Here is a 22773-nt window from a genome sequence, read left to right as displayed (position 1 = left end):
CTGCCTCAGGGCCTTTGCACATATCTTCCCTTGGCCTGGAACAATCTTCCTCTCTCCACAGAGATGGTGCCTGTCTCACTACTGTTTGCCGCCTCAGCCTTCCCAGGTGGCAGTTTCAAAAGTAGATTTCATCTCTGCTTGTCTCTTTCTCAGCTTCTTTTTTGCCTTTATGGCTGGCATTTGAACAAGCTATATTTGGTAAGATAAGATAAGGAAATAACTCTATTTTTCACCCACCGCAGCTTCAAACCTGTTTGGGAAGGATTTGCCAAAAATAATATTGCAAGCAAATCCCATGGCTTTTATGATAATTATTGAGTATTAAAATCATCTTGTTTTTTAGATATTAAATAGTTTTAATCCAACTCAATGCCATAATTTCAGTTCCTCATTCAGTTTGTTTTCCTGCCTTGTAGACTCAAGCTGGACTTAGGTCCTATTGACAACAGTCGCAAGTGCATTGTGGTTCTATCTTTCATTTTTTTTCACCTTCTTCACTTCTTTCCTTCCCTGCTTCCCCGCTGGACTCCTCCTGGCATTTTCAGAGTCAGGCTGAAAGAGGAGGGATGAGGGAGAAATGAGAGGTTAATGGGCAAGAAGATCTTTTCCAGGTAGCTGGTGCTGTTTGCAGTTCACTCGTGACTGTCAGATGTCCTCTGTCAAGGTGGATTCACAATTACTGGCTCTTCTTTGGGAAGAAGACCCCACACAGGAGGCCTCCATCCTGCCCACCCAGCCTCAATGGGGGGACTGTCTGACTCGCTTCCATGAATCTTGGCCCTGCAGTTCCATCTCAGGCACTGTACCTCACAACCTCTCTGTCTGTGAGGGTGGCCTCACTCTCCTGGGCAGCTCTTTCAAGACAATTCAGGCCGGGCAGCTTTGCACAGCATCCACTCTGCTCACTGGAAACATTTGGTATTTTGCTGTGTACTCCTGGGGGAACTGGCCACTCCCAAGGCAGCCCTGTCCCTTGGCTCCCTTCACTGGCTGCTGCAGCCAGCCTCTGGCATGCGGACTCTTTCTCTGGTCTCTGTGCACTGGGAGACTGAAAAACTCCCTCAAAAGTCACCCTCCGTTCTGGTCCCCTGGCAGCACCAGGGAGAGAACCCCCCTCACCACTTGCCTGAGATTCTCTCTTCCTTCATCTCTGGGCTTCCTTCATACATACAGACTAGGGTATTGGAGGTGGGCTGTGGGTCACAGGACTTCCTGAATGGGTAGTCTACACCTTTCCATATTTAGTTACAGTTTGCTGGAGGAGGAATGAGAGGGTTTTATTTATCATCTATTGTTCTCAGCTTTGGGCTTCAGCCAAAATTCTAAGACAACACCAGAAATTCCATTTAAGATCTTATTCTATGTGACGATTTGTTATTTTTTCTCAGGAGCTCAGCTGAGCTGGAGAGAGGGCTGAGCTATCAGGTGTAGGAGTAGCTGATGAAGCATCAGGGGGTTGACATGGAAGTACCAGCACAGCCTTTATTCACTAACTGCTATGGTACAAGCAAGGGGCTAAACCCACGCAGTAAGATTTCCCCTGCTGCCCATGGCACAGTGCACAGGCTGAGGTCAGGTGGGTCAGAGCAGGTGTGGGGTAGAGGGAGCAGTTTATGGACTCTGGGGTTGGGGAGGATCAGGGCTGAGAGCCAGGAGTGGAAAAGTACTGAGTACTGAGTCGGAGTGGGAAAAATGGTCTTCCAGGTTTTTCCGTTCTTTTCACCATAAGTAGGACTTGGCAGAGATGTCTGCAGAGGACCTCTGCCCAAGGTCTTGGACAAAGAAACCCAGGAATGAAGGCTCTGGGCCTAGGGTTACAAATATGTGAAGAGCAGGACCAGCTAGAGGGGCCTGAGTCCTTTCCAATTCCCTTCAGAGCCTGCCATGCAGTGGCTGTGAGCCAAGTCTGCTGTGGGAAGGGCAGATGTTGCCCATGGAGCCAGCCAGGTGAAGCCTTTGTACTTGCCTATGGTCGGGCCTGAAAAATCACACGTAGGTTTTTTAAACCAGGAGCTGGACTCTTCATTTTATTTATGTATTTATTGTTTCTTTTTTTCTCGAATGAGATCCTTATGAAGATAAGGACCTTCTCATTGGTCCCCTGTTGATTTCCCTCATGCGAAGCACAGCGCTTGGCACATAGTAGGTATTTGATAAGGATGTGTCGAGTAAATGGAGGAATTCCAGGCCAGTGCGGTACAGAGGGAAGACCCTGTTGTGGCCTTCAAGGGGGTCCTTGACGGATGAGGCCTAAATGACAATATTTGACAGAACAGTACATGTTTAACCAGCATTTATTATTATTAGAGGAAAGAAAGATTGTTATGATCAAGGGGGCAGGAGAGGCTTCAGGGAGGGGCATGGTTTGAGGTAGTGGGTCTGTTATGGATGGGATCTGAAGAGGTGGAACTCAGAAAACACCATTTGGCTCATAAACTTGACGTCAGGCTCACCCACACTTCCTAGAGCCATCTGTCTCGATATCTGCCACTTTCCCAGCGGAACACTTAGAGCATGCAAATATCTGCCCAAGTGCTCGCAGCTCCACACCAGCATCAAACCGGGAGGCAAAAGGAGAGGGTGGTATTTCGGGGACCCAAATCCTTCATCTCATTTAGTCCACAACTTTTTGGGTGTGGACATTTCATTCCCTTGTATTTTTTTTTTCTCCTCCGAATCATTTTTACTCTCTTTCATCTTCTGTCACTACTTCCTGCTTCTACTGAATTTTAAGCTTCTGTTTATTGAATGGGGATGAGAGTATTTTCAGGTTTGTTCGAATGCACAAAGGAAGAAGGGGCTTTGTAAATGCATGGCAATCCTCGCTGTATTCTAGGAATCTTTGATCCTCAAAACTTGTGAGCCTTAGTCCTCCCATCCTTGACCGTGGGGGACTAGTGCTCATTGTTTCTTAAGCACTTAGCCATTTAAAGACAAAAAGTAAAACCACAAAATCATAGAATCTCAGCTTAGAGAAGAACCTTCAAATTCCCCTGTATGTAAAAGGCAATATTTTTCTTTTGGGTGGATGAATTTGTAGGAACATTCCCTGGTAGGTCTTTTAGGTGAAGAAGACAAGCCCCTATCTTCCCCTTCCTTGCTCCACCCTGGGTGTACATTGGATGGCAAAGTTGAGGTCAATAAGTGTCTGGAATGTACTTGTGCAGCAAAATAAGGTCAAAGTTTGAATATCTATGGCAGGCAAGACAAAATGTTGTCAGAACCCAGGAGTCAAGGGTAGGAAGAGATGAAAGAACACAAGGAAATTTGCATGCTGCTAGACAAGAGGAGAAATAACAAAGCCAATCGGGCACTCTCTGTGGCAGGGAGTGGAGAATATATTTCTAGGGATTTGATATCTGATTTTTAGTTTGAAGCTGTTCTCTGCTTTATGCTCTAAATACCTTCTGCTGTCTGCAAAACTTTAGTAGAAATCTGCAGCACACGATTGTCTTGTGTTGGTGGTACTCTGGGGAATAAATGCAGAGGGGTGTTGTGCATGGGGAAGTGACCGGGAGAGGGCACGAGCCTCAGGAGCCAGAGGGTCCACCGGGCAGCAGTGATGAAGCAGGCATTAGGGTGTACTGACTCAGGTGGACAAGAATGAAGAAAGCCTGTGTAGTACTTCCTGCACCAGAGAGAGGCGACGCTTGAAGGACAGTGGGCAGGAACATGATTTAGAGTTCCCTTTATCTTTTTTTTTTTTTTTTTTTTTGAGATGGAGTTTTGCTCTTGTTGCCCAGGCTGGAGTGCAATGGTGTGATCTCAGTTCATCACAACCTCCACCTTCTGGGTTCAAGCGATTCTCCTGCCTCAGCCTCCCAAGTAGCTGGGATTACAGGGGCCTGCCACCAAGCCTGGCTTTTTTTTTTGTATTTTTAGTAGAGATGGGGTTTCACCATGTTGGCCAGGCTGATCTTGAACTTCTGACCTCAAGTGATCCATCTGTCTTGGTCTCCCAAAGTGCTAGGATTACAGGTGTGAGCCACCGCGCCTGGTCTAGAGTTCCCTTTATGTTATCTCACCTTTGAAAAAACCCATGCATTTGATGAAATGCTTTCTTGATTGGGATCCAAATCATTGATCCAGAGCAACAGGCCTGAAGAGGCTGCTGTTTTATGGGACCGTAACATCAGAGATGGCCTTTATCCGTCCATATCCACCTGCCAATCAGAATTCTTTGCTTTCTGGAATCAACTAGTTACAAACCATCCAAGATGTCTGTTCGCCCAGCCCATACTTCTCCATTTCCTCAGAACATTTTGATGCATCTCATCAGATGTGTCTGGAAACCAGTTATCCCATATCTGATGAGTTTCCTTTACTTTCTCAATTAGAAACATCAGTCAAAATGGGAATAGGTCAATCAGATATGACTGATTTTTCATAAACATGTGGCTTCTCTTCGGCTGGATTTAGTGTTCTAAATGATCACAAACCTATTTTCTGATAGACTTCTCGTCTGTCAGGTCTGGAAGCGACGGTGGTGGTGGATCTTCTCATCCCACAGTCTTGTTTTGCGGAAGACCCTGAGCCTGGACTTGGTCAAGGTCACACAGCTTATAAAAAGTAGGGGGTTGAATTTAGCTTGTAATAAACATCTCCTTCCATAGTTTTCTACTGTACGCCTTTTTTTTTTTGAGATGCATATATACTTTGTAGCTCAACTGAAGTCTTTTTAATTTGGCTTTTAAAATGTGCATATACTCGTACACTAACTAGAGTGTAAATTCCTCTAAGGATGGATATTTTTGTTGTGTGTAGCAGAGGCCAGGGATGCTACTAAACATCCTATAATGCACAGGGCTATGGCCCACAACAAAGAATAACTCAGTCTAAAACTCCTGTAATAACAGTTCTATTATTAGTTCTAACATGTTCCCTCTTTGTACCCTGCACCCAAGAACTTTGCAGAGAACATTCAGTCTGCTGTATCTATACTCAAAAGAAATTATTTAAGATTTTGCTTCCAAGTGACTGTCACTCTTGAGTTCTGCAGTGATGAGCTAGTCATTTCAGATGATGAGCCAGGTCATTTCAGATCAATGTTTCTGTTGAGAACTAGAAAAGCAAACACACACACATGCGCATGCATGCACGCACTCGCGCGCACATACACACACATGCGCACACACAGACACACACACCCCTGTGTAAATGTGCTGGCCAGGTTCACAAGGCAGGGAAAATGTGTAAGTTTAAGGCCTCTGGGAGGAGGGAGTCAAGAGAAGTGAGCTCCCTATTGGGAACAGCTTTTTCCCTCATTCCAAAGTGGCAACAAAGAGGCTGAGAGGTAAGTGCAGCTTTGACAGTCTCAGGGACTGAGGACTTTTGGTTGGGATCCTGTAGGGCTACACCCTGGGACACTGGTTCTCAATGGGGCACCTTTGCCCCTTCAAGGGACACTTGATAATGTCTGGGAACATTTTTGGCTGCCACAATTGAGGGTATGCTACTGGCATCTAGTGGGGAGAAGTAGGGCATTCTGCTAAATGGCCTGCAGTGTGCAGGGCAGCTCCCCCATAACAAGGAATTTCTGGTCTAAAATGTCAATAGTGCTGAGGCTGAGAAACTCTAGTAAGAAACCCTTCCTAGGAGTAAAAGCCTGGAAATAAACCAGCCCTCACAAAGACCAAAGCCTGGCTTCAAATCATCTAAATCTCTGAAAATCTCTGATTGGTTTTTCAGCCTAGCTACCTGACAGAAGCAAAACCGAATTCTCCCTGGAGCAGGAAAATGTTAAGGGAGCCTCACATGTACACTAATAATCACATATAAGGTGGGATGGGAATAAAAGGAGTCAAGCATCAGAAGATTCTAAGTTCCTCACATGGCTCACTGGCAAAATGCTAATTTATGTTAGACCTTAATTAAAGTTAAGGATGTATATTGTAGTCTTTAGAGTAATCACTGAAAGAATGGCAATTTTATCTATCTATCTATCTATCTATCTATCTATCTATCTATCTATCTATCTATCTATCATCTACCTACCTACCTACTTATATATCTACGTATGCATCATATAGTAATATAGTTTGGCTGTGTCCCCACCCAAATTTCATCTTGAACTGTAGCTCCCACAATTGCCACCTGTCATGGGAGGGACCTGGTGGGAGGTAATTGAATCATGGGTCTTTCCTGTGCTGTTCTCATGATAGTGGATAAATCTCACAAGCTCTGATGGTTTTATAAGGGGACTTTCCCTGCACAAGCTCTCTCTCTGTCCATCACCATGTGAGACATGCCTTTTGCCTTCCACCATGATTGTCAGTCCTCCCCAGCCATGTGAAACTGAGTCAATTAAACCTCTTTTTCTTTATAAATTACCTAGTCTTGGGCATATCTTTATCAGCAGCATGAGAATGGGCTCACATTGTGTCTGTCTGTCTGTCTGTCTATCTATCTATTATTTTCTACCTATTTATCTACCTATGTATCATCTATCTACCTGCTTGCTTCCCTACCTACCTATCTACCTATAATTTACTATCTATTGACCTATTATTTTCTTTCTTTCTATCTATCTATCTATCTATCTATCTATCTATCTATCTATCTACCTCTCTATAAGGAGAAGGAGATGGGACATTTAATATCTCCCAAAGAAGTCAGGAATCCAAAAGAAATATTAAACAAGAAGATGGTAAAATTAACCACAACTATCTCAATAGTACATTAAATGAAACCTACTATTCCCATTAGAAGGGAAAGATTGCCAAATTAAGTGAAAGAAACAGAATCCAACTAGAAGATTGTGATTGGTTTCAATCATTCTGACACTGAAAAGCAAATTCTTATAAGAACTAGCATTACACTGAATGATTTCTGTTTTAAGCCATTGCATGTATTTATCATGTAACCCCTGAAATTTGCTCTCTTATTTCATCTTCTTTAGATGAGGACACTGTGGCACAGGGAGGTTCAGCAACCTGCTTGAGGTCACCTGGCTAGGCTAGTACGTGTTAAAATAAGGATTTAAGTCAGGCCTTCTGGTTCTAGGACTCATGTTCTCATCAACAGTGCCAAATCTAATGAGACGTTAGTACTATCTTGTGTTTTACGACATTTCTGGGAGTCTCAACTGATTATATGTTGTCCTACAAGTAATTAAACAATGTTTTCCAGAATGTATTCTCTTATTATTTTGTTCAGATAATACAGCATCTCTTATGATCCGTATCCTCATTTTAGCCACATTTTCATTGGGATTCTTTGGTTGCAAGTGACAGAAATGGACCCTTTTTGCCTTAAGCAAAAATAAAGCTTCCTGAAAGAGCATGAGAGAGTTCACAGAATTAACTAAAGTTTGGAGAACCAGGCTTAGGAACCAAGGCATTTCTGGAGGGGGAGGGGTATAAAGGTGGCAAGAACAATGCAATAGTCTTACATGGCAATTGCACTGGGTTTATAAGCTTAAAATCTTTTTATTTTCATCTCTTTCTGTCACTTTATTCAAGGTGCACATCCAAGCATAGAAGTATCTGAGTGGCCTCATGTGAGTCAGATGCCCTCCCCAGGGTTAGGGGAACACAGGACATTCCAGGTGACATTCCCATCAGGTACATCACTGGAAAAGTAATACCCAAAGGAGAATATGGCCACAATTACCAAAGGAAGGTGACATAGATGCTGGGAAGCCAAGAATTCCATATGTCCATCATGTCTCCCTTTTAAAAAATTCCAAGGAGCTCTACTATGATTACCGATTTTTTAAGAAAGGAAATTTAATATGGAAGAGTCGCTATATAGGAACAAAAAAGACTGGGAAGAATTATAATAAGATATAAATAATTTTGTTTGAGTTGTAGAACTAGGATTGGTTCCTTTTTTCTTCGTTTTTTTTTTCCTATATTGTGCACTTATTACTTTTTTGATAGAACACTTTATCTTTCCAGATGAGTGGAATGAAGGCTGAGGGTCCCTTTTGAAGGTCTGAGGATATAATCACTAGTGACTCTGCATTAATAACAGGACCGTATGTTCCTCTTGAAATGCAACAACTGTCTTAGGATTTTATTAAACTCTAAACAGAAACAAAAAAGACACACTAACAAAAAAGACACACACACACACACACACAAACACCTCAATTTGGAAGGGACTTGTGCTTATGGGTTGGATGCAGAAGGAAGCAATTTTCCTCTGTTTTTTTCTGCATGAGCAATGCTTTTGCACTTTGATATTTGTTTCACCAATAAGGTGTTTCATTATTTCTCACACATAAAAAGCTGGTGCCATTATGAGATACCGTTAAAGACTCTGGCTTGCCCAGATGTGACTCAGTAAAAACAGCCTTTCTGTGCAGTGAACGAGACTTGTGAGGATGATGGGAATGGTGGGGGAGAAGAGATCCTTTTTCAGAGACTGGAAAAAGAAAAAAATATAAAGCCATTTGCCCTGCAGAGATGACAGAACACATTTTTCCTAATCAGTGGGTCACTTCACCTCTGCGCTATGTTTGGGGGAATCATCATGTAATTCCAAGCCTAAGGCGGGGTCACCAGATACGCTATCTTCTGCTGACCCTTCTCTGAGCTGCTTCTTCCAGTTTTCATGATCAAATTTCTCTGCTCCTTTGGACCGGCTGGAAAAGAAGTTATGAGATCTCTCCATCATTTGCCGCTCTCCTAGGTCCTTCTTCCTTTGAAGCTTTTCCAGTTTTGGTCTCTTTTTCTCCTCCTCTCAATGTTTCTCCTTCTCTCTCCCCAACTTTTGTATTTCTGGGGATTTCTTTCTGTTCCCCAGGGCCTTTCTCTTTCTATTTCATTCTCAAAACCCATTCTGGGATTCTATTTGAGTCTATCCATCTATCCAGCTGACCACAGCTAAAACCAGGAAGTTGAATCAGTCCCAGCTGCCGAGGCCCAGGCTTCGGCTCTGCCCCGAGTTGCTCCGGGTGTGGGCTGGTATCTGCTGTTTCCCATCATTCTCCAGGAGCGCTGCCTGTTCCGAGCTTGGATTGTGCTTTCTCTCCCCCTGCCAAGGGGCTCTGCTTCAAAAGCCCAGATTAGAAAAGATGGGACATTTGGGGAAAAAAAAAAAAAAAAAAAAAAAGAGCTTGTGCTATCTTGGCATTTCCTGTTCCAATAGCAGATTTCTTATGCTTTGATGATTCCAGAGTGAGAACACAAATTGTTAAGTGGATTGGGGGTGGGAGGTTCTAGTGAGGGAGAAAAGCTTATTACTTCGGGCCTCTTGCTGTGGCTCTGCACCCTCCTTGCTGCCCTTCAGCCAGAGTGCTCCTGGAGGCCAGGGACTCCATCTCCCAGGCCTCAGTGCCCATTAGATGTTCAACAAATGTATGGATTAAAGATCTCTTACCCCTCTTGAAAATTTGTTTTCCAGCCTGGCCAGGCACTGAATATGTCCTGAGAGCTAATGTGGTATCGACTGATTAAAGCTGAGAAGAGCAATGATGAGGAGGAGGCATAAGCAGAGAGGAGGTTGGAAGGAAGAACAGTGGCCTGGAAGGAAGAGAGAAGCATGCGTCCCAGCAGTCAGGACTGGAATTCAAGCCACTACAATAGAAGCAGAGCAAAGGAGCCCTTTAGACCTCCCATCTCAGAGGACCTGGTTGATTTCTCAAATCTCTTCACTTCCATGGGTTATAAAAATGGTAATAATGACAATAATAATAGCAAAACATTGGCATGAATACAGCATTGCCGGAACTGTTCTAAATGCTTTGCAGGTACTAACTCATTTTGTTCTCACAATCATCCTAAAATGTGTATCCTATTATTACCCTTCCCATTTTACAGACGAGGAAATGGAGGCTGAGCAACTTGCACAAGGTCACACAGCAAGTAAATCATAGCACAGAAAGCATGAGACCAGTGATACAAGAAAAACTTTAGACAAGGTAAGTTTAAGAGTTTATGTGAGTGAAGAATGATTCATGAATCAGGCAACCCACAGAAGCAGAAGAGGAGATCTCTGATCTGCAACGTGGGGAGTGAGTATTTATAGACAGGAAAAGGCTGAAGAAAGTAGACACAAGGAACAGAAAGTGAATTGGTCGTTTCAAAGTCCTTTCCTTGTAAAGGTTAAAGTGGAGGGGACCTCCTTATTAATCAGGTTTAAACTGGCCTGTTTGGGGATATGCTGTTATCTATTTCTCCCTCTTCTAATTCTTCAGAAGGTCATATAAACAACTTAATTATGGCTTGGTGATGTGGAACTTTAGCATGAATGACTCCATTTTGATTTGGTCTTTGGGGGCCTACTGCAGGAGGAGCTCAGTCCCAATCAATGGCCACCTATAAATTTTATTTAACACCATGCAGGCAGCTCCAGAGCTTGGTCTCTTCACCACCGTGCTCTAACCAGTAACTGGCGATTCGCAGATGTTTATCTCTAGGACTGGCTTGTCTAGAGAGTAGTTGACAGCAGACCTCCTGGGATGACCATAATCCTGAATTGGATCCCATCTTCATGCTCCCCTCTGGTCCTCTAGAACTGCCCAGGGATGAAGCTGATTGAGGGCCTGGTGAGCTGGAGGGAGGGAAGGAAAAGATGGGGAGGACCCCTGCACAGTTGTCCCCCACTAACTCGTTTCTCCTTCTCCCCCACTTCCTGTGTGTCCTTTCTTGGCAAATGGTACTTCTTTCTAACCAGGAATCTGTAAAATTTCCTTGGGCCTCTTCTTCTGTCTCATGAGTGTCACCAAGGCTTGCTCCTCTGGCCTCTTTATGCTACTCACATCCTCCCCTCGCAGGGACTGCCACTGCCCCCATGCATGTTCTCTCAGCATTCTCTAGAGCCACCAGTAGCAGCGTCCTAACTGGTGTGCTCTCAGTTATGCTGGTGTCTAACTCGATGCTTCTCAAACTCATTAAAACACAGATTCTAAGCTCCCACCCAGATTCTGATTCATTTGGTCTGAGATGAGGCCTGAGAATGTGCATTTCTAACAAGTCTTCCGGTGTCGCTGATGCTGCTGATTGGGGACAGTGCTTGGAGAGCCGCTGTGCTAACCTGTTCTCTACACAGCCTCCAGATAAGTCACCTAAACCCTGGGAACTACCATGCTTTGAATCTGGCCATGGCTCCCCACTGTCCTAGGAGAAAGTCCAAACTACTTAGAGTGCAAAACAGCTTACCTCTGCCGCCTCGTCCTATCTCATAAGTTACACTTCTCCAGGACACAGCTGTTCCTAGTGCCACCCTCACACCCCCAAGACTACGCTGGCTCTCACCTTCTCCTCAGTGCTGGGGACACAATACATGGTAGCCGTTGTTATCATAGGGTTAGAGCTGATGATCACAGGGGCACTATTGCAGGCAGAGTCTGGACTCTCCCTTTAGCTTACAGCCCTGAGAGTCCTTTTTCAAGGCTTAGGTACTAGCTCCCACATGCAGTTTGCTGGTTGCTTCTTGGCCTTACCCTTCCTCTCACCCAGTCTGGGCTATCCCCTCTTCTCCTTTCCTGGCCCTTTTTTTTTTTTTGTTTTGAGACAGGGTTTTGCTCTGTGTCACCCAGGCTGGAGTGCAGTGGCATGATCACGGCTCACTGCAGCCTCAGTGCTCCTGGGCTCAAGAGATCCTCCCACCTCAGCCTCCTGAGTAGCTGGGACTATATGCACATGCCACCATACCCCACTAATTTTTGTATTTTTTGTAGAGATGAGGTCTCACCATGTTGCCTAGGCTGGTCTCAAACTCCTGGGCTCAAGTGATCTGCCTGCCTTGGCCTCTCAAAGTGCTGGCATTACAGGCGTGAGCCACCACACCTGGCCTTGGATCTGACTCTTTTACATGTGCACATAGGACCATCTGAGATAGAGTAGGAGTCAGCTTTGTGGTGGGCACTTTCCTTCAGGGGACTCCTGTTAATGATGCTATTGATCCAATGAGTCATCTTAGCTGGATAGGATCAGTTTCTCTGCAGCCCATGTCCTAGCTGCTTCCAGGACAAATCTCCCTGCTAGTTGTCCGAGTGATTATTGTCAATGTCCTGTGTTCCTTTGCAGCCAAACCAGTGGGAGAAGGGAATGCAGAACTAGGAGGCAGGATGCATGTTGCATTTTAAATTTTTAAAATTTTATTTTTATAATTTCAACTTTTATTTTAGATTCATGGAGTACATGTGCAGCTTTTTTACCTGGGTACGCTGTGAGATGCTGAGGTTTGAGGTATGAATGAACCTGTCACCCAAGTAGTGAGCATACTACCCAACAGGTAGTTTTTCAGCCCTTGTCTCTCTTCCTCTCTTCCCCCTCTATTAATACCCGGTGTTTATTGTTCCCATCTTTATGTCCATGAGTATCCCATGTTTAACTCCCACTTATAAGGGAAAACATGCAACATTTAGTTCTTTGTTCTTGTGTTGATTTGCTTAGAATAATGGCCTCTAGCTGCATCCATGTTGCTGCAAAGGACATTATTTCATTCTTTTTATGGCTGCATAGGATTCCGTGGTGTATCGTACTACATTTTCTTTATTCAGTCTAATACAATGCATCTGATTAAAACTTCACTTGTAGTGTTACTCCCTGATTTGCTCTTATCTTAAAATCCAAGTAAATATTCTACCCTTTGGAATGTAACTCAAGTTCTGAAAAAAACCTTGGATTTTCTTACTGATTAGATTTATCTCCCTCCCCACCCAGCTCTGCCCAAAACATTGTGCAAGAGTTTGGGTTTCCTTACAGGCTCCTGTTCCTTCTTCCACTGAGTAAAACTTTGGAGCATATGAACTCTAAGAGCTTGTCCTTAAAAGTCCCAAATCCTGTCATTAGAGGAATTTTGGCTGTTCCTAATTAACCTTGACCTTGTTCTCTCTGCAGCCTCAGGCTAAGCCTGAGCCTTTAGCTCAAACTATACAGGATGTATTACAGTTGGATAAGAGGGAGAGGAGTGGGGTCTTATGAGAAATCAATCTGGATTCAGCAAACATTTGCTGAGCCCCTACCATATGCTATTGCCTGTGCTAGATTCACTTACAGATACCCAGATCCTGCCTTAAAACCTGTATTTGGCAAAATGGCTTTGTAAATAAGAAAATAGATAAAACAATTATATAACTAGGCCCCATTGTCTTCACGACCTTCATAATCAGTTGCTTTCTTTGTTACATTTTAATTAAATTTGTAGGTTTGATTTCCTTTCTTGGGACTTCGGTTTTCTCTGACCCTGCAATTTAAAAATTTGCTTTTAGATCAAAGACATTTCACAAGAAAGTCTCTTATTTAAAAATCTTAATCAGACTAAAGGAAGAGGCCCAAATAGCAGAGATTCTAGGTATACCCACAGAGGCTCAAATCAAGCCCACTATAAACCAGCCACGTGTAAAACTTCCTGATGCACAGTTAGAGTTCTCTGGGACAGAGACAAGTCCATGCACTCTTTAGTGGCCCTCTGTTCAGTTTCATTTCTGGGGAGTTTTTTTTAAAATCTTTTTTGGGTATAATTGACATACAATGAACTGCACATATTTAATGTGAACAATCTGGTGAGTTTGGACCTAGGGCAGTTCGTGGTGACTGTGGGGAAGCCCAAAGATAAAACCCAAGTGTCAGAGTGTGTCATCATCCCAGCGGGGTTGCAGTCGGCTGACCGTCAGGAGATAAGCCTGTCCTAGAGATAAGCATTTGGGGATCATCAGAGAGCATGGTAGTTGAGAGACCAAGCTCTGGAGCTGCCTACCCAGATTCATGATACTGCAGTAGCACATGCCACACTACACGTGGCAATAAAAAAAAAATGGTCATTTTTCATCTACATGTCTCTTTCCATCCATCAGACTCTGCGGACCATTACTGTGTCTCATTCAACTCTCTGTCCCCAGCACCCAGCACGGTACTTGGTACATAATAGATGTTTATTAAGTAAATAAGTGATGATGCAAAGCAGTGATGCAGCTTACAACTTGATTGAAGAGAGAAATTGCACACAGATCCTCCTCTGGGTAGAGAAGATTTACTGGTACAATGACATGGGACACCTAAGAAAGGGTAGACTGACTGGATCTGCAGGAAGAGTTCAGGGAAGCCTTCTTCAGGGAGGCAGTATTGAGCTGAACCTTAAATAGCATTTGCATACCAACTGAGCTATATAGAAAATAGATAAAAGATTTGCATATATTTTCATAGGAACCTCAAAATGCATCTCAATTCAACGTGCATGATATTTAATGTGCTTTGCTTTGCTTGGCCAAATAAGTCCCAAGGGAGTACCATTAGAATTGCTATATGCTGTTAAGAAACAACATACATTCTGGAAGCTCTTTGTTGTTTCACAAATCCAATCATTGAAAACCCAGCTCTATACCTTCTGACCTGGAAAGAAACACCCTCTATGAATCTGGGTAGAGGCTAACCCGCTATAATGAAGATACCCCAAAATACCTTGACTTAAGGGAGATAGAAGCTTATTCATCCTCATGTAACATTCCCAAAGTGAGCAATTGAGGCTGATGTGCTGGCTCAGATTCATATGGCCATTCGTGGGCCAAGTTCCCGTCTTTTCGTCTTATGACTCTACCATTCCTTAGAGCATTGTCCTGTCTATATGGTCCCTCTGAGATGCACCTCATGTGAAGGGATATAGAGGATCTCCTGGGCAAGCAACCTGGAGATGGCACAGAAGTTGCACATTTCATTGCCACTCACTTCCTGTTGATCTAACCTAACCATACACTTAGTATGCATGGCTAGTTGTAAGGGAGCCGGGGAAATGTAGGCATAATTGAAGCTGACTGTACCCCAGCTTTGATTCTATTCCTAATGAAGAAGGAAGAAATGGCTTCCAGTGGATAGCCATCAGTGTTTGCTGAAAAAGGATTCACACAAAAAGATAAACAATTTATAAGCATTTACAGGGAACTTTAGCAAGCATTTGATCAGTTCTTTATTTTAGGCTTCAGCAAGAAATGCTTCCATCATCCAGAATCCACAGGGTGTTAGAAGTTCAGATGGCTTATCTAGTCCAATTTTAGGTGGGACAGTTTAGTCTTAGTCTCTCAGGATGCATTCATAATTTCTCCCTTTCTCCCTCTCTCTCTCTCTCTTTTTTTCTTTTTTTGAGATAGAGTCTAGCTTTGTCACCTAGGCTGAAGTGCAGTGGCATGATCTTGGCTCACTGCAACTTTTGCCTCCCAGTTTTGAGCAATTCTCCTGCCTCAGTCTCTCCAGTAGCTGGGATTACAGGCATGTGACACCACACCCAGCTAATTTTATATTTTTAGTAGAGATGGGATTTTACCGTGTTGGCCAGGCTGGTCTCAAACTCCTGACCTCAAGTGATCCACCCACCTCAGCCTCTCAAAGTGCTGGGATTACAGGAGTGAGCCACCGTGCCCGGCTCCCTTTTTTTCTCTTATGCCACACCCACCTCTTGGCCATTTTTGATCCTGTTGCTTCTTTCTTCAAACTTCTTCTTCTCTCAGTGTCTTATCTTAAATTTCATTTGTCAGTCATTCGCTGCTCTACCTGATCCCACTGCTGGGATGGGTTTTCAGACAGAGCGAGGAGCTTCACAACTTGAGATTAGAGGAGAGGAAAGGGAAGGGGTCCATACCGGGGTCAGGCATCAGGGCAGACGATCTAAAAGACACTTAACCTCTTATACTGCAAAGACGCCTGCAATGTATTATGCTCAAAGATTTTGTGAGTCTTTCTCCTCTGTGAATTACAAAACACAGTCCTCTTCTACAGATTAATCTCTGGAAGTCGCAGAGAAAAGGTGATGAAAAAAAGAAATGCCCACCCACTACAATGGAAAGAATTAATGCACAAATGAATGAGTGAGTGAATGAATATGTGACATTTCTGGCTTGCTTCTGATTCACCAGCGTGTAGGGATATAGTGGGATGCAAGTCAGATGTGCTCTGGGCTCCTGTGGGGCTTACAGACTAGTAGTGAAGACAGCCACTGACTAAGTCACTTTGAGTGGACTGAATTTTAAAAGGGAAGAAGTACAAGGGGCTCTGACACCTGTAAATGAGTGAACTAGGTTGGCAGGTGGGGAAAGGAAAGGCTTATTTCCTTTAAAGCAAGGTTCAGACTGAGATTCACATGACAAGGAAGAGTTAACTAGATGAGGTGTGGGTGAGTGAGTGGAGTGGGGAATGGGCAGGGGAGAAGAACATTCTAGAAACAGAGAAAAGCATCATGAGAGCCTGGCAGTGGGAGGGAATATGGCCTCTTAACAGAACCAAGAGAAGTTCACTGTGGCTAGAGAGTAAGAAACGAGGGGGAGAGGGCAGGATGGTGCCCTGGCCATGTAATTCTCTCTGAGGAGGAGGTTGAACTTGATTCTGAGGGCAAGAGGAAACGATTGAAGAATTTTAAGTAGGCAAGTGATATGAATAGATTTTCACTTTAAAAGAAATCCATCTGGAATCAGAGTGGAGAATAAATTGGTGGAAGGAAGGGAAAGGGGCAGAATGGGAGGCTATTGCTTTAAATTCAGGACTGAGAGGACTGCAGTGGGTAGTAGGTGTGGAGTGAGGAGGGACATAGGTGGGAGGAATTTTAGGTTCTATCTAGGTGATGCCTTGGAGGCTTAGGGGGATGAAATAGGGATTTGCCCACAGTATCTAGGTTACGGAGAGGCAGAGTTTCCATCAGGACATGTAAAATCCCAAGCCCTAGTCTTCACTGTTCCTCTCAACCAGGAACTGGTGAGAACAAGTCTTCTTGTGACAATCAGAGGCAATGGACAGCTACAGATGAAGAAACAGAGGTTGTGAGGGATGAAACAATTATCCCAACATCAAATAGTTGAAGGTGGCTGATGTAGACTCAAACCCAGACAGGCAGACTCAAAAAGCCTACATCCTTCTCCATGACAGCAGTCTCATGAAGCCACAGTGTATGCCTCTGAGTCCGCTGGGCATGACCCTCCCTGGCACTGTGAAGGTCAACTCCTGCTATGCACTCTGCTCAAAGAGTTTGAGTTACAAAGCACAGTCCTCTCTTACAGACTTACTTCTGGAAGTAGCAAAGGAAAGGTGATGGAAAGAGGAGAGAAATGCCCACTGTGGCCATTCTGGGGTTTGGAGAGGAGACAGGACCCAGCAAAGAAAAATGAGGAATTGAGAGAATGTAACAAGGGAGGTAAGAGTGAGAGAAATCTGACCCTGAGCCCAGAGAACCATGACCTTTCCTGGTTCCCACTACCCCCGTGATCCAACCACATGGTCCAGTAGAAAGAGTGGGACTTTGAATTCAGTCAGTCCTCTATTTATTAATGGCTCTGAGGTCTTTGGTCATTCATATGAACTTTCTGAGACTCAGTTTTTTTTGTCTGTAAAGTGGGGATAATAATACCTATATTAAGGGTTTGGGGTGAATTAGTAAAGATCATGTAAGGAAAGAGCTGATTGAAGCATCTGGTACATGGTCAGTACTTAAAGCACAAGGCACCCTCATTTCCATGGTGATCATTTAATTTATTGTCCAAAGAGGACACATGGGAGTCAAAGGGGAGACTGTAATAATTACACTGGGACAACAAGCAATAACTGGAACTGTCGCAGGCAGACTAGGACGTATGGAGGGGCCTGATCACATCTCACTCTGACCTCAGAAGCCACTAAAATTCCCAGCTCTACCTGAACCCACACTTCTGCTCTGGAGTTTTCAGAACTCTCCATTCTTTCGGGCCATGTATTTATTCATTCATTTGGGGAAAACAGTTCCAGGTCTCGTGCTAAGGGCAAAGGAGGCAGTTGCTAATGAGACTCAGTGCATGGTACTTCTAGAGGGGTTCAGAGTTTGATGGAGGAGGCAGGCAGTGACACCACAGCGTGGTCATTGCAGTCTTAGGGGTAATGGCAAGGTGTCTGGAGGTGGGGCAGAGAGAAGCATGGAATTCAGTGTTGGAAGAGTTCCTTGAGACATAGTGCACTACCTTCATTTTACAAAGAAGAATACTGAGGCCCAGAGAGGTAAATCAGCTTGATAAAAGTCACTTGGCTAATTGGGGCCCACATGGGAAATCAGGACCTGAACATTTCATCCTGTTGCATGATGCCCAGGGTACTGATGATTCAACAGCCCTGGTCAACCAGAACTCCTCCCTGACCTCTCCCAGATGCTCTCCCATCTTACCCTCTACTGAACTAGCTCTGGACTGTCCCTTTTTCTTCTCACCACCTCTCTTCTCTTTCCTCCCTTCCATACATTTGATTAGATACTGTGGGGAGTGCAGACATGAGTCAAAGAGGTTCTAGCCCTTAAGGGAGATGGATGGATAAATAAATAATGAAAAAAATGTAAAGAATAAATTGCTCACTAGAGGTAAAAAAAACGTGCGTGGGTAGTTTAAAATGGTTGAATCTGGTGGAGAGATTGCAGAAGACTTTTCTGGAAGGTGGTACTGGAGCTAAGCCTAGATACTTGTTTTAGAAACTTTTTTTTAATAGGTGAAGAAATGGGAAAGGCAATCCAAGACCAGTGTAAACAAAAGCTTAAAGAATAAAAACGCATTTCATATTTATGTGATTATTGTGGGTAGGGGACAGGCAGGCAGAGACACGTTAGATATGAGGAACAATGAGGGGAGTAGGTCATAGAGGGTTTTAAGTACCTTTTGGAGGGGCTTTTCTTTAATAGCAATAACAAATTAGTAAGAATAATAATTCAGTGCCTGCCACAAGCCAGGAGTTCTGGTGACCACAGTTGTTTAGTTTAGACCTCATGACAAATATTTGAGTTAGATGTTATGGCCCCATTTTATAGATGAGGAAAACTAGGGACATAGAGGTTAATTACTCATCCAAGTGCACATAGTTGGTAATTGACGGGCAGACAAACTATTTGAAATCCACCCCCTTTGCAGTAGACACAAGCCTCAGAGAAGTTTGGAGTGAAGTGAGGGGATGGGCTAGAATATTGCTGGTGCTGCCCTGTAACCTTGTATGTGTCACCTTACTTCTCTAAGCTTTAGCTTCCTCATCTCTTAGCCAGATGCCATTATAGTGTGTATTCCACAAGTGATATTACAAGCATTTAGTAACTGGTTGGCATGGCATTGACCAGTTATGATGGGGACAATCTGTAAACAACCAGGTTGGTCACTGTGAGGAGCAGCTCTGCCCACTTCATCAGGTTGTTGAGAAAATTAAGTGAGAGTGTGTTTGTAAATCACTGAGAACAGTGCCTAGCCCATTGTAAGCATTTCAAAGGAGGCAGTTGCTAATGAGACTCAGTGCACGGTACTTCTAGAGAGGTTTAGAGTTTGATGGAGGAGGCAGGCAGTGACACCACAGTGTGGTCATTGCAGTCAATAGTGATTGGAGATGTGGGAGAGTTTAGGATGGAACAAGGGCAAACTTTAAAAAGTAGGAGTCAGAAGGGAGAGATAATGTGGGATAGGTTAGCACTCAGCAAGTGAGAATTCTACCTCTGAACCCCCCCAGGGGAGACTGGTACTTGGGGGAAGCCCCACATAGGCACAAAAGTTAAGACTTACAGTCTGATAGGTCCGGGTTTGAATGTTGGCTTACTGCTTGGCTACTAATTTGTGATGTGACTTCAGACACTTACTCAACCTCTTTGAGCTGTAAGTCCTCACTTGTAAACAAGATAAATACAACCTTCCTGCAGAGCTGTTGTAAAGAGCAGGTTAAGGATGCCCAGGAAGGGCCCAGTCTTCATGGGGCCACATGTATTCATAGGTGACTTTCCTCACTCTGGAGTAGCTTGCTGCTCATTTGCAAGGGGCTCTGATCTGACTGGGGTCTTCATTTTCTCCTCCTCACCATGGCTGGGAAGATATTTCCCAAATGGAGCTTGAAAATACCTTGATGTGTCATAGTAAAATAAATCATTGTGATATTAAATGTCTTTCTTTCTCTCTTTAGTTTATTGCGCCTAAGACATTGGGCATTCAGTTGGCATCTTCTATGCATTATTATAAATTGACACCGGTGACAGGCATAGACCCAGACAATGCCTATGGTGGCTATGAATTTGTTTGTTACTTAAAATGGCGCTGAGAAGTGACAAGAACAGAGGTCAATTTGGTGGAATTAAGCTTGTGCTTCTTTTTTCCAATGTTGCTGGTTGCCTAGCAAGGTGTGGGTGGGCTGCGTGTGTGCTGGGCTCCCAGGATGGTTAAAACTAGAGGAGACAGATTCTAGTGGAGGAGGCAAAGGGGTGTAGGCAGCTGATCTTGGCTGAGTGGGGACACTGAAATGAGCGAGATTGCAGTTTAAATCCAGGCTCTGAAACGTATGTGCCCTGGAGCAGGTGGCTGAATATATCTGAGTAACTGAGCATACTGAATAACTGAGTATCTGTAATACATCTGAGTAACTGAGCATAGACATAATATGAAATGGGTGGTGGAAGGGAGAAAAGAATGGGGCAGTGCAGGGGAAAAGGTGCTGCCTCAATGTACCAAAGTAATGTCTATATCTCCATATCATGTTTCAGCATCCTCCCAGAGAAAAGAGTGTCTTTGTGTCTTCCACGAAGTTTGAACTGGCATATTCAGTTAGGATTTGAAACTGAGTTTTTGGGTATCTACAGCTCAAGATACAGGTTTTAGTTTCTGAACAATTTTATGCTTTATCATTTTGGTATGGTTATTCATGAGTTCCCTTACCAGGAATGCTGAAATAGACTAAATGTTTGTCTCCCTGCCCCAAATTCATATGTTGCAACCTAAATCTGCAATGTGATAATATTTGGAGGAGAAGCCTTTGGGAGTTGGACTGAATTCCACCCTCTTGAATAAGATTCACGTCCTCATAAAAGAGACTCCAGAGAACTTCCTTGCCCCTTCCACCTTGTGAGGATGCAGTGAAAAGATGAACCAGGAAGTGGGCCCTCACCAGATCAAATGTGCCAGCACTTTGATCTTGGAATTCTCAGCCGCCAGAGCTTTGAGAAATAATTTTTTTGTTGTTTAAGCCACTCAATCTATGGTATCTTGTTAGAGCAGCCCAAACAGACTAAGACAATTGTCTTCATCTTTGCATGTCTAAATCATACCCAGCCTTCAAAAGCAGCTCAAATGCTACCTTTTCCTAAAAACCTTGAAAACCTTTGCAGTAGACCCGAGCCTCAGAGAAGTTTGGGGTGAATTGAGGGGATGGGCTAGAATCTTGCTGGTGCTGCTTCAGCCCTGTGACCTTGGATATGTCACCTCACCTCTCTTAGCTTCAGTTTCCTCATCTCTTAGCCAGACAGCATTATAGTATGAATTCCACAAGTGATTTTACAAGTATTTAGTAACTGGTTGGCGTGGCATTGACCAGTCATTTTGCAAGAGAAAACCTTGCAAAAAGGTTTTGCATGGCATTGACCAGTCATGCAAAACCTTTTTGCAAGATTTTCTCTCTTCAAGCACTTGTATGTTTTTCTTTTTTGTTGGAATACATGAATTAGTTTCCCTGGTAAGCTAAAAATTCATAGGTAAGCTCAATTGTTTATCTTCCATGGAACTTAAGACAGTGTATTGCTCATGATAGGTATTAGACAAAGGCTATCTATTGATTCAGAAAACAAACAAAAAATGCAACAAGATAGTAGCTAGCAAGACAGTAAAAATCTACAAGAGTAGGTTTAAGACACTGTCCATCAAAATATTTGCCCATTAGGGCTTCTTAAATTTCTCATTCTAGTGATGTTCTAAAGGGTAAATTGGTCTTTTGCATGGCGATTTTATTTGCTTTAATATTCGTTTTTGTCACTGCCAAGGCAAAGTGGATCTCCATTATATTTATGTCCTAATAACAAGGCCCTGCTGTGCCTTGTTCTGGCTTGTTATTGTGGTTATCAGAAGCTCTCTAAGCTTCAAATTTTCTAAAATGAAGGGGGCAGGAAAGAGAGCAGGATCAGGCTAAGAAATGTTTGCTGTGATTTTCTTAAGCTTCTTCTGTTGGTTTGTTATGAGAGCAAACTGATTAGAAGCCCTAGTGAAAGCAAAGGCTAGAATTAGGAACAAAAGAAAGCAAAATTAGAGTAGAGTTAAATCTAGGTGAGATGGACAGAGATCGTGAAAATGAAACTCAAATAAAGGGTATGTTGTATACTGTGTACACTGAGAATAAGATATTAAAGATGCACTACCTGGGGGAAGTCATTAGCTCATGACCTTATTTAATGAAAACATTTTTGAAGGCGTTCTCCTGTTTTTATACATACACATTCCAAAAAATATGTATGTGCTAACCTCAAATGTGTGAAAGATGCAGATATTCATGGGATGATGGGGGCTTCATTCCAGAAAGCTTAAAATACTAGAAAATCCCTACAATTACTTCTTCATTTTTGGTCACAATTTTCAATCATATATAATTAGTGATATTTTGTACATGTTTATCTTCTGTTTTTTGTCCTTGACAGTTAATCACATGTGTGGTTGACCCATGCTAAGTTCATTAAACATTGAATTGAAACAAAGCTTTGCTGCTTTGAGTGTGCTTAAAGATTTTTTTTTTTTTTTTTTTTTGAGACAGGGTCTCGCTCTGTCGCCCAGGCTGGAGTGCAGTGGCACAATCTCGGCTCACTGCAAGCTCTGCCTCCCAGGTTCATGCCATTCTCCTGCCTCAGCCTCCTGAGTAGCTGGGACTACAGGCGCCCACCACCACGCCCGGCTAATTTTTTTGTATTTTTAGTAGAGGCAGGGTTTCATCGTGTTAGCCAGGATGGTCTCAATCTCCTGACCTCGTGATCCGCCCATCTCAGCTTCCCAAAGTGCTGGGATTACAGACGTGAGCCACCACGCCCGGCCAAGTGTGCTTAAAGATTTGTATCTTAATTTTGATTGTAACATGTTTATACCTAGCTTCCTATCACATGTGTCCAGACTAT

The 22773-nt window shown here is 43.4% G+C and overlaps 1 long non-coding RNA gene across 1 annotated transcript, besides 2 other annotated features; it reads left to right on the top strand.

The window, feature by feature from the left end:
• Positions 426-926: an enhancer, noted in NCBI's record as "H3K4me1 hESC enhancer chr4:17286637-17287137 (GRCh37/hg19 assembly coordinates)". NCBI's record gives its function as "activates a minimal SCP1, AML or CMV promoter by ChIP-STARR-seq in naive H9 embryonic stem cells {active_cell/tissue: H9 hESC(naive)}" and the evidence as "EXISTENCE:reporter gene assay evidence [ECO:0000049][PMID:30033119]".
• Positions 927-1427: an enhancer, noted in NCBI's record as "H3K4me1 hESC enhancer chr4:17286136-17286636 (GRCh37/hg19 assembly coordinates)". NCBI's record gives its function as "activates a minimal SCP1, AML or CMV promoter by ChIP-STARR-seq in naive H9 embryonic stem cells {active_cell/tissue: H9 hESC(naive)}" and the evidence as "EXISTENCE:reporter gene assay evidence [ECO:0000049][PMID:30033119]".
• LOC107986219 (uncharacterized) lies at positions 8959-12119 on the top strand. The gene is made up of 3 exons (XR_001741498.1): positions 8959-9619; positions 9765-9865; positions 12077-12119. It is a non-coding gene; the product is annotated as an uncharacterized LOC107986219 (long non-coding RNA).
• Positions 12120-22773: the final 10654 nt, after the last annotated feature.

The sequence above is a fragment of the Homo sapiens genome, chromosome 4, assembly GCF_000001405.40.
Source record: "Homo sapiens chromosome 4, GRCh38.p14 Primary Assembly".
Lineage (NCBI taxonomy): Eukaryota > Metazoa > Chordata > Mammalia > Primates > Hominidae > Homo > Homo sapiens.
The sequence above is the reverse complement of the archived record's forward strand: the minus strand, read 5'-3'. Positions and strand labels throughout refer to the sequence as shown.